General features: G+C 36.3%; 1 long non-coding RNA gene across 3 annotated transcripts in view; it reads right to left on the bottom strand.

Annotated features, from left to right (window-relative positions):
* The window catches only part of LOC105379129 (uncharacterized), a 42,004-nt gene that overhangs the window by 20,830 nt on the left and 3,359 nt on the right, over positions 1-17,815 (bottom strand). For all 3 annotated transcript variants that reach the window (XR_948683.3, XR_948684.3, XR_948685.1), the window contains exon 2: positions 3,807-3,891. This is a non-coding gene — a long non-coding RNA (uncharacterized LOC105379129). The remainder of the gene's footprint in view (positions 1-3,806; positions 3,892-17,815) is intronic.

Raw genomic sequence — 17,815 nt, 5'->3', positions numbered from 1 at the left:
ATTTTTATTTAGGTCTGACTTTAGAGTCCATAAACATTCAACCATTTCACTCGGGTCTCTCAGTTGAGAAATGTCATTTAAACATAAATCTGAATCTAGACAGTATTATGGTCCACTTGGCTATTTTCCTAAAGTGAAGTGCCTAGATCCACTGGACAAACTCCAGAGCATTTGAAGAACTCATTTTGACAATGCCCAGCAAAGATACTTGGTCTTAGTGCTTTTGTTTTTCACTATGAGCCTTAATGCAAAAGAAGTATTGACATTGAAGCATGATTTCTGTATCACAGGAGGGCTCCTGGACACTTGGGAGGCATTTACACTAAAGAGTCTTCTAATTTAAATTTTTAACTAGGAAATATTTCAAACAAACAAAAAAGTAAAGAAAAATAATGTAACAGATGCCTATGTAACCACCTCCAAGATTAAGGAGATGCTAACTGTTGGGGTGGGGATGGGGTGCATTTTAATGCACTCTAAGGTTTGGGAGCAATAACTACTCATTTCTCTTGCTGTTTTCTTCCTTTTGACAGCATGCTTGACCACAGGGTACATATGTTCTTCATTGCTTTCTGCCATGTGACAAGCTACATTTCAAAGGCCCCTGTGTGGGAGGGCTAGCCCTGTTGGTGACTGGATGAGCACTCCTGTGTATTTCTATGGGTCCAATATTTTGAATTCCAGATCTGAGCCACATTTGCATCATCTATTTAGCTAGTAATAAATGTGGCATTTTGTTGACCACCTGTCTGACTTTGACTGCCTTCTATTTGGTCCAGAACTTAGGTGAGAAGAAGGGTGCTATTTTGAGGGACTCCTCAAATTCCAACATTAAAATTTGTCCATACTCAGAACTCTCCTTTTAAAAATGAATAAAAGTTAACATTATAGCTAAAGCTTTCTTCCATCCCACACCTCATTTTCTTCTTCTTCCCCTAGGGCTACCCACTAAGCTTAATGTATCCTTCCTATACATGTTTTGGTAATTTTACTGTATAGTTATATGTCTGTAAACAATCTTATATTGTTTTATGTGTTTTACAATTTTGTAAAATGGCTTCATCCTGCACACATCCTTTTGAAACCCACCTTTTTCACTCCATGTTATTGTTCAGATTTTTCCATGTTGATACATACATAGATCTAGTCATTTTAACTACTGTATAGTATTTAATCATATGAATAACCCACAGTTGTTCTTTCCCATTTTATCCTCAGAGTGAGCAACACTACAATTAATTTTATTGTATGTTTCCTTGTATCAGAATTTTTCAGTGGTAGATATCTAGATGAGTTAACAAATACTAGCTGATGTGGTAAATAAACTCTGAAATGTCAATGGCTTAACATAATGAAAATTTATTTCTCACTTAATGTAAAGCCCAAGTCGATGTGGGGAACAGGGAGAGACAACCATTTCACAGGGCCATCCAAAGATCCAGTCTGAAGGATGTTCTGCCCCTGTTCAAGATCAGCCTGTTTGTCAACATCTAGCCAGAAGGCGAAGAAAGAAAAAGCGAAGATACACCAGCTTTTTAATCTCTCTGGCTCAGAAATTTCACACATTACTTCCACTTACCTTCTATTGGTGAGAAACAGTAGTACACTTAAATGTTATCCAGCTAAGAAATATGGACGTTGATTGGGCAGCCTCATTCCCAAGACTACCCTACCCGTGGAATGGGGAACATAATGTTTACAGGATAGCTGACCATCTCGCCGCAACACCTAAAAGTGGTATTGCTGGTTCTTTCAAAGAAGAGTTATTCACTATAAAGTTTTTATTTTCTGGCCTTTTCCTTGTACTAAAGGGTGTTGTTATAGGCTTGCGAGGCTTTTTGGCAGCAGAAATAGGTGGAATCACTACTAGCTTCTCTTTGTTATCATCAAATCTGCTGGTATGAGGAAAGAGAGCCATTGTTGGTTGTTAATTGCTGGTGGTGGGGTGAGGGAAGGGTAACACAGCAGACTCCTCTCACTGTCACTTTCCCAGACTTTGAATGAGACTTTGACAGAGCCTTCAATTACTGCAATGCCTGTGATCTCATTAGAAAAATCTTATTAAATCTAAAGAAATAGACCAGAAGAATATCAGATTGGTTTTACCAAAACATTATGCCAACAAAAGTTCCAAAGGCAGATTTTCTGAGGCCAATATAGCTAAAGAACTTCTTGGGCTAGGACAGAGATGTAGCTTGGATTCTTCCTCTATCCTTCCAAAACTCTGGCTTGCCTTTAGACCCTTGTATACTCTCTGGTCATCTAACTGAGTGAAAACAGGAAACACAATCCTATTAAAAAGACCTGGGGATAATGTAAAACTAATCCTACACATATTTAGATGAAGTAACAATTGGTGCCAAGAGGAGGGAAGGTATTTGGGAAAAATGGAGTTTTAAGTCTTTCTTTTAAAAAGAGGCTTTAAAAATACAGGGAAAACTAAAAAATATCTCACTTTTAGCAAAGTACCTTCCAATCACCTATAGAAAGTCATTTTCTATAGAAAATCCCTCTTCCCACCCAAGTTCTGGACCAAATAAAAGGAAGTCAGAGTCAGATAGATGGACAACAAAATGCTTTTCTACAGGTGATTGCTATTTGACTAATTGCAAATGCTGCCACAATCTCTAATTATGGGTTGACATAATTAGAGTTGACAATTACGTGAGACTAAGGAAAAAGTAACATAACTACAGTTAAGCTAAGAGATTGTCAGGTTTTCTCTCACAAATATGTTGCAGCCATCAAAAAAGAATAATCGTGTGCTGATATAGAATTATCTCTAAGATATATTTAAATTTAAAAAGCATGTGTAAACAGTGTATGTATTATGTAAATATTTGTGTAAAAAGAAGATATATGTATATATAAATGCCTACACATGTATTTGCTTATGTAGGAAACAATATCTCTAGAATTATTAAAAAAAAAAAAGAAAAAAAAGAAACCTGTAACAATAGTTACTTCTAGAGAGGGGAATGGATTCCAAGGCAGGGAGGTCAACTAACTCATCACCATACACTCTTTTATGTTTGAATGTGCTGTATAAATGTGTGCATGTGTGTGTGAATGTGTTTGTGTATTTATGGTGAAGCATAGAGAGGTACAGTAGTCAATTCCACACCCTACTGAGAATAGAGTTTCAAATTAAGGATTCAAGTGTAGTGAAAGTAGACACAGTTATCATTTGAAATTAAAGGGAAAGGAAAGCCAAATATTATAAGGCCTATCCTCAAATTGTTTTAAGTTAATGCTCCTCAATCTCGTTTTGGCCCCAAACACATTGAAGGATCCACATTGTTCATGAACAGCCACTCCTCTTAAAGGTGAGTCTCAGTTTAGTGCCACGTACTTCGTAGGTCTAGGACATGTAGCCTTAAACTTGTTCCAGGGGCCATTGGCAGAGAGGGATGGGAGAGTAGAACATTCCCAAAAATGTAATCACAGAATGGTTTGCTTTAAAGGAACATATCCTTAGAAAACTATTAGACAGGCTTTTGAACCATTATTGTTTTGTGTTCCCCTATTATAACTAAGATAATTTCTACATATTATTTCTCTCTCTCTCTCTCTCTCTCTCTCTATATATATATATATATATATATATATTCTGCTTAGTGCCATCTTGCCAGCTAATGCATTTTGCATTAAAATGCTTCGATCAGCCTCAGCTAAACCCAATATAGGATCCTGTTTCTTTCCCATCCTGATCTAAAGGGTAGCATATGAAAACCTTGGGGAAGGAGAGGGGCAATACTATCCTTTGGTGATTCTGATACCAAGTCCAATTTAACATCTATACTTACTCATTCAGGCAGCCATTCTTGGTGAATAAATTGTTCAGAATCAAATATCAAACTGGTGGCCCATTGGGTCATTATAGCCTTCTACCTGAGGGGGAAATTAAACTGAATCAAAGGAAAGTTTCACCAGATTCTTCTCAATGTACTAAAAAGAACAAAAACTACCATAACAATTCTAAGAATTTGTGATCCTAGTATAATACAGCCATGACTTACTGGGACATAACTGAACACTTTATAGAGTGACACTTTCCAAAGATTCTTGTGAGCTTTTACTTAAATTTTTCCCATAAATTTACTAATTACCCTTATCAAAAGGAAATTCATGACATAGCTCAATGCTAAGAGTCCAGGGAACAAAGTAAAGGCTGGAAATAGTGACCTGGTTTCACTAGAAATTGCAGGAAAGTACTGGTTTATAGGTCACTGGTTTTTTTGTGCCAGAAATGTCTGACTAAATTAGGTTACATCCTGCAGGCCCTTCACCTGTCTCTCACGTAAATAACATTACCCAAGGGTGTCCTCTCAGCCCTACTCATGACTGGCACAAAGACATTTCAGCCCACATAAATTACCTTTTTTCTGGTTTTGTGAGAAACTTGGTTCCCTCAAATGGTTGTGATATGAAAATTCGCTCAAAGCCGAAGGTGAATGATAAAATAAAATGGGCTCTAAAAGGACACTTCTACATCTAAATTCAAGAATTCTATGGTTCTAGGATATAGTATAAAAATTAATGGAATCTGTTTCACATAAGCAAGCAGATTTAGGATTAGAAGCATGTCATAACTTGAAGGCAACCCAAAATTTATTTTTAGGCTACATGAATCTTTCAGAGTTCTTGATTTCAGACAATGAAACTCCCCCTAGGTAGTTTAGGCAGCAAAAGGAATTGTATTAAAGATTTTAAGCAGTTCTTGGAATCTCAGTGAGGGCTACAGAATAAACCATGGCTGCTCTGAGGCTGGGAGCCATATGAAAGTTACACAGATGGTTCCAGGGGGCACTCTATTGCTGCTGTGCCTGGGCACAGACAACCCAGCTTTTGCCCCGAGTGGCGGACACTGGAAACTCTGCCTAGAACCTCTGGCAACATCTCTGGAAGGTAGAGCCTCTCCCTCTATCTGCCATGATGGATTCTGTGAGATGCCTCACTCACTCCAGCATGGAGGTCTCAATAAGATGGGTCTAATTGGCAGAACCTGGACACTAGATCCTCAAATTGAAGATGTCAGGAGAGTTTCTGACTTCATCTTTGAAGAACGAACTCTCAGAAATCAGGAAACTCTCCAAATATAAAATGGGCTCAAAGGTAATGAGTGGCAATGCCCACTTCAAGTAGTATAACCTTAGCTTCCCCTGGGGACCTGGAAAGCCCGGGTCACATCTTCCCGGGGAGTTAATGCCCATGGGCAGACTCTTGACCAGGGGCATATGTAGAATGAAATGGACTGGCAGATAAATTGTTTTCCCTTCCTCTCCCCTGGTGGGCTGCCTTGATATGTAAAGTTCATTTGGCCTTACTGAGCACATCCCATGAGATGCAACATGAACTATACTTGTTGCCAACAAGAGGCTGACTCAAACTTCCCTCATGTTTGCCCCTTTTCCCTCACTTCTGTTTCCCTGGGAATGTAACTCCCAAAACAGATAGCAGCACATAAGCCTTTCCTTTAGGCTCTGGTTTCTACGGGTGCAAAAGCATCTCACTGCAGATGCAAAGTATTCTTATTAGAGCCTTTGCCTGGTCTCTATGACAAGCTTCAATTATTTTTCCTAGAAAACTAGTAATAGAAGCTCATGCCAATTTGTAAGACTGCATTTGCCATAACTGTCGTTCATACTAAAAATTTCTTTTCTACTATCTCTAGTTTTGTCTTGTGTGCAAAGAAAGAATTATTCATTGGGGCTCAGGTTGTGAGAGTGAGGAGTAGATGAATGAACCGGTCAGCTCTCTCAAATTCAGTGAGAGTCTCCTCGCTGCTACATCAAATGGCATCATGCTTTGTTATAGCCATGCTGAATTTCTTCTAGTTCCCTAAACAAACTATTGTATATCATTTCTCCGTGCTCTCTATCTCAGGTTTTCTCTCCTAAGAAGCTGTCTTCCTTTCCACTATTACTACTGCTAATAGTGGAATTAATACAGCTAACTGCGTCTGGTCCTTGAAAACTAAGCTTGGGTGTCACTTCTTTAAGGAAGCCCTGCTGAAGACCCCTTCCCACTACTCTAATTTATACCAAACTGCATATTCCTATAATACCCTGTGCATTGTATTTATTTGAGCCAAACTGGACTTCAGCTATTGGTCTATTGACCTGTCTTCCCTGACAAGATAGCTGCTTGAGAGCAACGACCATGCCTCATTTGGCTTTGTAGCCCTAGCAGCAAGCACTGTAACTGGCACATAATGATCGTCTAATTAAAAGCTGTTTGAATGAATAAATAATGTTTATGGAATAACTGAATTACACCAGTCAGGGTCCCTGTGCCATGTTGTGGCAGTGGCTAAAAAAAAAAATCTATCCAGCCGGGCGCGGTGGCTCACGCCTGTAGTCCCAGCACTTTGGGAGGCCAAGGCGGGTGGATCACGAAGACAGGAGATCGAGGCCATCCTGACTAAGATGGTGAAACCCCGTCTGTACTAAAAAAAATACAAAAAATTAGCCGGGTTTGGTGGCAGGCACCTGTGGTCCCAGCTACTGGGGAGGCTGAGGCAGGAGAATGGTGGAGCTTGCAATGAGCCAAGATCACATCACTGCACGCCAGCCTGGGCAACAGAGCAAGACTCCATCTCAAAATAAATAAATAAATAAATAAATAAATAAATAAATAAATAAATAAATGAATAAATAAAATAAAATAAAATAAAATAAAAAATCTATCCAAGCCCTTCCCTGGATTGAAGAGTGCTTCATCCTTCCACCCACCTGTGAGATACAGTCAATAACTACATTGAGCCATCCCAATTGAAAAATCCTGTAATTTCCCTAGGAAAGATGGCTCAATGTCATGTTTTTGGTTGATTCCTGAGTGAGTGAGGATAATAAAAAAAAATTACTATTGAAAAAAAAATAAGCGAAATGTATATACCTAGGACTTGCCTTAGATGACCAGTGTTTTTGTCATCTCCATCTCACTTCACCAATGGAACAAAAATAGTTATTAAGAAATGACATTTAACTGTTCTCATATTTAGAAGTTATCTGTCCCATATATCTGAAGCTGACCCTCATTCCAAATACTTGTCCAAATATGTCCTAATTTTTAGTTTAGAAAATACATACTCATTTATTTTTTCATGGATCCATCTAAAAAATTCAAATTGATGTCTAAGATGGGCTGCCTCAGGCATAGATATGCAATAGTAAATGGAACAAACATCATCTCTTGTGGAGTTTGCATTTGAATGGGGGAGGAGTATAAACATTATAACCTATATTCAGGAAGTCTTTCCTTCAACAAATATTTATTAAGTGCTCCTATGGACTCCGTGCTGAATAGCAGAGACACAGGGGTGCCCCATGGAGGTTGTCCTCTAGAAGGGAAAGAATATTAATCAAATAATCACACAAATAGATAATGAATTATGACAACTGTTATAAAGGGGAAAAATCAGATTAGATGGGATCCAAATCTAGATGTGGGTGGAGGTGGCCAAAAAAGGCTTCCCTAGGAACTGACATTCGAATTGTGTCAGGAAGCGAGGGTTAGAGGCTCCCTCCAGACATAACCACTAATACAGGCTAAGGGATGCTGGCATGTTATGAGAGCTAAAAAAGCCCAGGGTAGCTAGAGAACCAGGAAAGATGGAGAGAGAAGCAGGAAAAGTGGTCAGGGACCATATCATGCAGGGTTTTACAGGTCATTTAAGAAGTCTGTTCAAATACATTAGGGAATAACTAATGAAGGTTGAATGAGATTGCAGGTAAAAATTAGTTCATGAACTTCAAAGTTGCTAGTATTTATTGTTTTGATTTATATTCTGGTATAAGTAATTGAGGTGTTTTTTTAAAAAACTATTTGTATCACATAGAAATTGGTAGCATTAAAAACTATTCTAACCATTTTTGCTAAAAATAATTATTAGATTTAGTATAAAATTTTGGGAACAATCCATTTAAGAAGCTAAATGTCAGTTGACTGTATTTGTGAGTCTTAATATGAAAGTAAGTGTTTTTATTTATCTGCCAGGATTTCAACTGGTTTGCTCTTACTTCTATTACTGATATATTATAACAAGAACATTCTAATTTTCATGCCTAAAAGATGAAAATATTTTTTTCTTTTGGAAAGAATCAAATATGAACTGCATGTTTTCTACTGTTGCTCAGGTGACATCTGGTGGATAAAAACTGAAATGCAATTTTATATAGTTTAAGAAAGGTGAGGTTCTCAAATTCCACTGGTAGGAAGTCATTAAAGAAGTTGAGCCTTACTGATTGATGATTAATTTTGCTTATATTTTTGGCATCCTATTATTCTCATTAAGTAGAAATTGCGATAGAGATTTGATGGGAAGAACACTTCAGTGCCCTAGTAGATTTGGTAGGCTTTGGGTCCTGCTTAAACCTCTGGCAATAAGTAGCTAAATGGCCTGATTTAATTTTGTTTTTTTAGGAGTTTTCAAAGTGAGTAAACAGATTAGCTACAGATGGGACAAGAATCAGATTAATATCTGACTTCTCAGTGACAATAGTAAATAGGAAAAACAAGAGAACAATATCTTAAATATTCTGAAGAGAATTTTTACTCTGTCTAGAGTTCTCTGCTGAGCCAAACTCTCCAACAGATGTAAAAATAAAGGCATTTTCAGACATGCATGGGTATGAAGTTAACCTTGCATGAGTTCTCTTTGAAAGAATTACTATTTAAAATGCTATTTTTATCATTTACTCAATTGTCAAATGTTTCTACTTGGGGAAAGCGAGTGTATTCCATTAAGTGTTTATTAGAGCATGCCCCTCACTGTTATTGGTTTATTTTTTCTGAAAATTTCTGGATTTTTTCTTTACTTTTTATTATAAGCTATAGACCAGCTTGTCTACTTAAAATATTTATGTTTTCATTGTATTCTTTCACATATTCAAAAACCATAACAGTGAGCAGGCAGGCAAAGTCCTTTCCAGAATGGAGCTTACATTCAGTTTTTTTTTTTTTTCACTATGTCAAATTGGGTCTTTATTTCTATTATGTTTTCTAACTGCTTGTTGTTTGTATAGATGAAGGTGATTCCTTTCTGCACACTAATTTTGTACCCATCCATTCCACAAGTTCTCACATTGTTCACAACACATGTATAATTGAGTTTCTTGGGATTTCCAGGCATACAGTGATCTGTAAATAGTGATATTGTACCACTCTTCCAATGTTTATAACTCATGTCTTTGTCTTGTCTAATTGCATTGGTTAAACCTCCAGAACTACACCAAATAATAGTGATGACTGTAGATACAATTGTCTTGCTGCTCATTTTAACAGCAATGCTCATTGAGCATTAGTGTTTCCTCATTGAGCAGACTGCTGGCTTTTGGGAAATACCCATCTTTCCCCTTTATTGTGATTTTTTTTAAAAATCAAGTATGGATGTTGAGATCTATTGAATGCCTTTTCAGTATATTTGGAGAAAATCATGCATAACTTTTTTCTTTTTTAATCACTTTTATCAGACAAATTTCAGTTGCAGAAAACAGAAGAGGGTTTTATACAGGGAATTGGCTGCATACAAATCAGTAGAAAGCTGGAGGAGCAAGCTGTCTAGTAGTGGCTCCCGGAACCATACTGCAAAACTGGCCCACCCAGGGATCTGCCCCCTCTGTCACAGTCAGGAAGTCATGCTCCCATCCCACAGTTTGTGAGCATGTCATCTTAAGGTGATCTGGGAATGACAGCCTGCCACCACAATTCTTAGCTCCAGGAACACACCTTCCTATCTTTCACCTCTGGATCAGAAAACCGATAAAAGGACTACCAGCTCCAGAGTCTCACTGTGTCTGCTACAAGCTACCCCAGCAAAATGGCTGCCTCAGGTGCCACCAACTGTATTCTGAAAACAAGTCTCACACAAATGCATCTGTCTGATTGTCAAACGTAATTCACATTGAAGACCCTGGCTGCAAGGGAGCCTAGGAAATGAAGATTCTGAACTTTCCAGCCTTTATGGTATAGGATGTCATACAAAAGAGAGATTGGGGTAGACAGTGAATGAACCATGTTACTATACCCAACCACTTATTAAAATAGTGAATAATGTTAAATCATTCTTGAGACCATAGGGAAAAAATTCTTTTTCCCTTAATTATTTTAAGGTGCTGCTGGATTCTGTTTGCTAAAACTTTGGTGAACATTTTAAAATCAGTATTCATAAGTGATTTTTGTGCTGTCAGTTTCTGGTAACAAGCGTATGCTACTTTCATTAATAGAATTTGGAAGCTTTCCTCTTTTGCCTCTGCTCTGGAACAATTTAAAAAGCATTAGATGCCAGTCATGGTGGCTCACGCCTATAATCCCAGGACTTTAGGAGGCTGAGGCAGGTGGATTGCTTGAGGCCAGGAGTTTGAGACCAGCTGAACAACATAAGGAGACCCCATCTTTACAAAAAAAAAAAAAAATTAAGAGATAGCTGGACATGGTGGTGCAGTGTCTATAATCCTAGCTACCTGAGGCGGGAGGATGGCTTGAGCCTAGGAGTTCAAGGCTGCAGTGAGTTGTGATCATGCCATTGCACATTAGCCTGGGTGACAGAGCAAGACCCTGTCTGAAAAACAAAAAAATAGCATTACAGCCTATTTATTTCTTCCATAAAGATTTTGTAAGATTAGCCTTTGAAGCCCTCTGAGCCTGATGCTCTTTGGGAGCCTACCTCCTTGACAACTGTTTTCTTTTTATTTTTCTTGGACATTTAATATTTAATGTTTATATTTTTAATTCACCAATTTCAGTAAATTGTGTTTTTTTAGAAAAAGGATTAATTTCACCTAAATGTTCAAATTTATTTGCAGGCAGTTGAGGGAAATAGGCTCCTATGATTATTTTATTTTCCTTTGTATCTTTTTATTATGTATTTTTGTGCTTTCTTAATTTTATTCTTGGCCAAGTTAGCTAGTAGTTTATCTGTCTTGTTAAATTTATTCATTGGGATTATCATTTTTCTTAGTTTGATTTTATTATTTTCTTTTATAATTCATTTTTCCTTATCTCCTTTTTGGTAGCTGTTTTTTTCTCTATATTTTTTAGCTGGGTAGTTAATTCATTTACTCTTATTCTTTTGTGGTTATTAATACAATTATTGAAAACCACTGTTTCTTCTGAGGGTTGCTTTAATTGTATTCCGTGGATATTAGTATGTAGTGTTATCAATATTTTCTAATTAAGCTGCAATTTTAGTTTTGATATCATCTTTGACTCGAGTTTTAAGAGAGTTTTAAAATTCCAGATAATAGAGTCTTTTTGTCTTCTCAGTTGATTTGCTTTGTGATCAATGAAATATATCCACATTATTTCTGCTTTTTGGCATTTACTGAGGATTTGGGGCCTAAATTTTTGTGAAACTGTTAGAAAAGAAGGTATAATCCTTGTTTTCAGTGCATAGAGTCAATATGTGTCAATTAGACCTACCTTATAAAACATATCATTTAGTCTACTCTATATTGAAACCCCACTCTTTATACCCTTCTTCAGGTAGTCTCCCCACAGCAGCCTTTAAGAAGATCAGCAATTCTGTGACAGGTGTCTAACAGCTATAGCTCCAACCTCTGCCAAGGGAGTGAATACTCCTGCGTCCAATATTAACAACCAAACCTTGCAGAAATATTGATAGGAAGAGAAAAAAAAAATCAAGAAGTTATTACCTCTCATTCATTTACACTGACTGGCAGCCAGGTCAAGCACAGGCTTGCATATTTATATGCACATTTGCATATTTATTTGCATATGTATACAAAAACAAACCTCCCCAACTACATGCACTTTTTTGCTTTCTCTTCTGATTCCACCAAGGTTTCCACCAGGCACTTTCCTCAGACTGACCTGTAATACCCTAAGCAGTCTCTCAACATGGCCTGCTTCCATGCCCAAATCAGGGTGGGACATCCACTTCCTGGTATTTCTCTGTAGTAGGCAAACTGGTTTGGTATCTGCAGTCTTAATGCCTAGTAACAGCCTAATGTTAGTTGATTTTCCTTCCAACATGAACAAGCTATAAAATGTTTCTGTGCTCCAGATTACACCCATCACTAGACATTTCCTTTCTCTTATATTTTATAGATCCCAGTTAATGTTAAACTAACAGTATCAGTTGGGATTATTATATCTCAGACTACGTATAACAAAAATCCAAAAGCAGTGGTTGAAAAAACAGTTAATTGCTTTTCTCACATAAAAAGCAATTAGAGGTAGTCAGTAAAGCTGTTAAAATTAGTGCATGATAATTGTGAAAAATTCTCAACATTACCTAAGTCCCACCCATCCACTGATGTTTTATCATTTCTTGAAGTACATTTCTTATCTTCTATATTCTTGAAGTACATTTCTTACCTTCTATATTTATATATAGGGACCTGGTTTTTATTTAAAATTCTCAAGCAAGGGTAAATAATTTAAAACTTATTTTGTACCTATGAGCTAGAAGTTTCTGAGAATTTTCCTGTAATCCAAGGAAATATGTAGAAAGATGATCTACTGTACGCATTTGATTTTCTAACTGTAAAATAAATGACTATAATATAATAACTGGAATAATTTTTAAATGGTAGGTTTGTGGTCAGTCATATAGGTTTGAATTCTCAAAGAAAAATACTGTATTGGGACTAAGCGGTGTAGTCATAAAACTGTCATCCACATTGAAGATTTTTTTATTTCTCTGAGGATGGTCTGAGGGGCGTAAACCGGATACTATCAGCAACAGAATAATCAACATCCATTCAAACACAATTGATTGTTTTGTTTTCTACTGGCCTCCAAGAAATACTTATTTTTCAAAAGAAGAAAAATAGACTTTGAGGGTTTGGTGGTTTAGGAAAATAAGTATTAATGATAAAGGCAGGTTCATGGTTGATGATTGGTTCTGCTATATTTTAGCTATATTGTCTTAAAAAAATGTATTAACTACGCTCTCATAGTTAATTTATTTACACCAAAAGGAGATTATCAGTGTTAATAAGAATGTTTGACACATAACAGGCAATCAAAAGTAGGAATTATTATTTTTTAAATAAATATTTAAACTTTTTCCTTTTATTATACCTGCCCTCAAACTATCTTATCTTAACAGCTACACTTGAAGATTCACGGTTGTTGCTGCAGCTGTTACAGTTGTTAAAGAATCCATCTTTTAAGGCCCATCTTTGGGGAACTATAGTCTGTTAGAGAGTGTCTGGTTAGGGAACTCTAACATTACCAAGGAATTGTAAAATAGAAGCTAAATGACTGGGAATTATTTAAATAACTGTCTCTTTTTCATATCCAGAAATATTGTTTAAACAATAGAATATTTTATATGGAAATAGTGAAAAGTTGATAGAAGACATTCAATTGTTTTTACCTGAGAGAGAGAATTGTGGCGGGAGCTATCACCCTATATGTAATATTGCTTAGCTTGCATTGTGATTTCACTAGTCAGTGAAAAACAATTTATTCCTGCCTTGTCCATTTATACTGGTGAATTCTAGAGGGCACTGTAAAATCATCCATTTGTTGGTGTATTTGAAAGATTAATACAAATATTTTGTTATAATTAAGTCTTATTTAAAAATCCAGTCCCCAGGCATATGAAGACATTTGATTTTGTGTAACTCTCTGGAACAATTCCACCCATTTTCAGCAAATTATTCTGTGACCTTAGAATGAATCAAAACTGTCTCACCATCTGTTCAGTTTGCAATAGTGATCCTTATGTAAGGATCACTTTGATTTGAAAATCAAATCACTAGTTGCAACACTGGGCAACAAGTTCATTAATTGGGTTGAACTTGTTTGGTTATAATTGGAAAATAGCCTCTTTTTTCCTCTTACTGATTGCTTTTTAAACTTAATCTGTTAGATATCTCTTCCCTCTCTCAGATAATATCTTAGGTGGAGCCCATATATTTTCTGATCACCTTGAGTACTACTCATTTTCAGGTATTGAAACGTCAGCGTTCCCTAAATCACAACCATCATATCATGTCCAACTTAAAGCTTTTCCTTATTCCTGACCCAGAATCAGTAACCAGCAGTGGAGAAGACAGGCAGAGGTTCTTCTTCCACTCTCCTTGACCTACCCCCTTTCTGCATTCAACACACTGCTACTGAGTACTTCAGGATCAAGGAAGGTTTGAGAAGCTAATGAAAAGTCAGGAACTGGTGACAGTAAATGTAGAGTATTTTTTTTTTCCAAAAAACTGACAATGAAATGGAATAGAAAAAATAGAAGGCTGTGACTTGACTCACATATTGGTCGTGAAACAACACTGAGTTATATGGTGCAGATGAGAGCCAGGCCTAAACAAAGTGATTCTAAAATGTTGAAACTACAAGGCTGGGCAAAGGCGTACCAGAATAAATGTGAACAAAAAGGAATCACCAGACAGTGATTTTAAATATAAGATTGAATTCAGGGCAAAAATAATTAAACAGGAAGTATACTTTACAATAATAACAGGTGTAATCCACAATGAAAATCTAAGTTATATATTCTATACCCTAAATAACGCAGCATCAACATTCATTAGAAGGACTACAGGAGATACAAGAAGAAAAAATAGAAACATAAGTATCAGAAGACTAAGACAGATTAAGAATTCAAAAAATTAAGTGAAGATTGGGAGGGAATATAATAATGTGCAGTAAAACTGACTATAAAATATTTTCAAATAGTATTTTAATAATATGTAGACTTAGAGGAAAAATAGGCTTGCACCCAAGCCTATTTTTATGAACCTTATGAACCAAGAAACAAGAACAATTAAAAAGACAGGTTGGTATGGCAGGCAATGCTAGCAACTAACCCACTCATCCTCATAATAACCCCAATAAAGTATATTTTCAGGATGCTTTGTAGCTAGGGGTGGCTGTGTGATTCAGTTATAGTCAATGATACCTAAAAGGGGGGCATTGGGTAGGGAGGACTCATAGGAAAGCTTTTTTAAATGTGGCAGGTCTGCTGTCATCCTCCTTTTGCTCTTTGCCTTTGTAGCAACACATTGTAGATGTCCTGCCTCTGAGTTCACCCATCTACACTGATGGCCTCCACCTGTGTCCATGCTGTTCCGCTTCTTGACCTAACAGCTTTCTCTAGAAGCTTGTTTAGCCATTGTATGGGCAGCCTATAAAAGCTGGTGTTTAATGTCCCCACAGCAACGCTCAACGAGTGAGGTTTGGGATTTGGTAGATAGATAACTCAGCTTTCCCACCCCTTAGTAGGGAAACTCTGAGGACAGTCCTATAAGATTCCTCAGAGGTCCCCAGCTGGAGTGAGGCCCAGTTGCCCACAGCACTAACCACTAAAACACCCTCTGTTGGCTTTTCTCCCTTTCCTATTTCACTTTCTCGACGCTGTCACTTGGCTTCTTGAGATCACCTCCCAAACAACCTATCTCCTGTACCCAAGTCCTTGTCTCATGATCTAATTTCATGGGAACCCAAACTATGAAAGCCCTTTTCCTTCTTCCTGTCTAGAATGTAAGTCTGAGAATTGGATAGAAAGAGATAGCATGATATCTATTTTCAGAGAGTATATACTATAAATGGAAACCCTAAGATAATCATTCTAAAAATAATATCAAAATTAAGAAAAATGACCCAAGTAGCAATAAAGAAAAGCGATTGTCTTTATATATTCAAAGAAAAATAAGCTAGAAGATATAAAGGAAGAGGAAATCCAGCTTACAGTTGCAGTAAATATTGTTAAACTCAAGAATAAACTTAAAATCTTTAATTTTCAAAGATGCAAAAGTGGACTAGAACAAATGTAAACAAATGTAAATATGCTTTGTTCGTGGATAGGACAACGGCACCTCATACACATATTAATTCTTTCCAAGTTAATAAATTTAATGTGATTCTAATGAAAATGCCAAGCTTTTTTCCCCAAAGTAGACTATTGATTCAAAGTTTCTGTGGAAAATGAGCAAGCAGGGAAAGCTAAGAAAACTCTGGAAAAGAAGAATGAGAGAAACTAGTCCAATAAGCTATTAAAACATTTCATAAAGTCCTTATAATTTAAAAAGCATCTATTCATTAATACATAAGTAGACCGATACAATGATAGAAGAGAATAGAAAAATTCAGGAGAAATAGGACAATTATATACGAAAAGTTAAGTGGCACCAAAAATTACCACTAAACATATGCTTTTAAAGAATAATGTCGAAATAACTGGATAGTCATTTGGGTAAAAGTAAAAATTGGGTCCACATTTCACACTGAATATCAGAAAGAAATCCAAATAATCCAGATATATAAATGTGAAAGGTGAAACCACAGAAGAAAACAGGAATTCACTTCATTATAAACTTGGAGTGAGAAACGCCTTTCTAGAGATGATTATAAATCCCAAAGCACTGAAAAAAATAATAAAAGACTGACAAATTTGACTACATAAAAATAAAAAGAACTTGCTCAAAGCAAAAAAAGGAAAAGTCATAAAACAAATTTAAAACCTGAAAGAAATATTTGCAATTTATACCACAAAATATATCATAATCTCCTAATTAACAAACAGTTCTTAAAAACTGGGAAGAAAGGCACCAAATACCAGTTGGGAAAAGATGTAAAGAGACAGTTAAAAAAAAAAAAAGCAAGCAATTGTCCTTAAACTTATGAAAAAGGCTGACCTTCCTCATAATAACATAAAGGCATACAGACATCCCTCAGAAACATTGCAGGAAATATTACACACAAATTTAAGGTTTCCAAGTGCATATAAAAGTTATGTTTACACTATACTGCAGTCTATTAAGTGTGTAATAACATTGCATCTAAAAAAGCAATGTACATACCTTAATTTTAAAATACTTTATTGCTAAAAATGCTAACAATCATCTGAGCCTTCAGTGAATTATAATATTTTTTGCTGATGGTCTTGCCTCTATGTTGATGGTGGCTGCTGAAGACTGGGGAGGCTGTGGCAATTTCGTAAAATAAGACAACGGAAGTTTGCCACCTCAATTGATTCTTCCTTTCACAAAAGATTTCTCTGTAGCATTCTATGCTTTTTGATAGCATTTTACTCATAGTGAAACTTCTTTCAAAATTAAAGATGGAAGAACGGTCAACTGGTGGAGTAGTCAGAATACACAAAACATTTATTAAGTTCGGCATGCCTCATGGTGTCCCAAAACAATTAAAATGGTAACATCAAACATCATTGGTCACAGATCACCATAATAGGAAACAAGTTTGAAATATCGTGAGCATATTTCGAGAAATACCGTCACATTACCAAAATGTGACACATAGACGTAGTGAGCAAATGCTGTTGGAAAAATGGCACCAATAGATTTGCTTGACACAGGATTACCACAAACCGTCAATCTGTAAAAAATGCAGTGCCTGCAAAGCACAATAAAGTGGAGCACAATAAAAACAGGTATGCCCATATTAAACTTACTGAGAGATACGATTTTTCATCTCTTTAGATTTTCAAAAATCCAACAACTTAAATACTAAGATCTCAAGCAATAAAGAAGCAAGCACCCTCACACATTGTTAGTGGCAGTGCAATATGGTACAACTCCTATGGAGAGGAATTTAGCAATATCTAACTAGGTTGCATTTGCATTTAACCTTTGACCTAGCTATTCTACTGAAGATAATCACTTTCCCAAATATGAAATACTTATGAATCATTACTTGCAGCAACAAAAGTTTAGAAATCACCTAAATATCTATTGGCAGATGACTGGCTGAATAAAATAACGGAGGATTATGCATTTAATTTTTAAAATTTAAGAAAATTTCTGTGAACTGACATGAAGCAAGTTCCAGTATATATTGTTAAGCAAAAATTTCAAGGTGCAGTATATATTGTTAA

The sequence above is a fragment of the Homo sapiens genome, chromosome 5 (genome assembly GCF_000001405.40).
Source record: "Homo sapiens chromosome 5, GRCh38.p14 Primary Assembly".
NCBI classification, from domain to species: Eukaryota; Metazoa; Chordata; class Mammalia; order Primates; family Hominidae; genus Homo; species Homo sapiens.
This window is presented reverse-complemented; position numbering and strand designations above follow the sequence as displayed.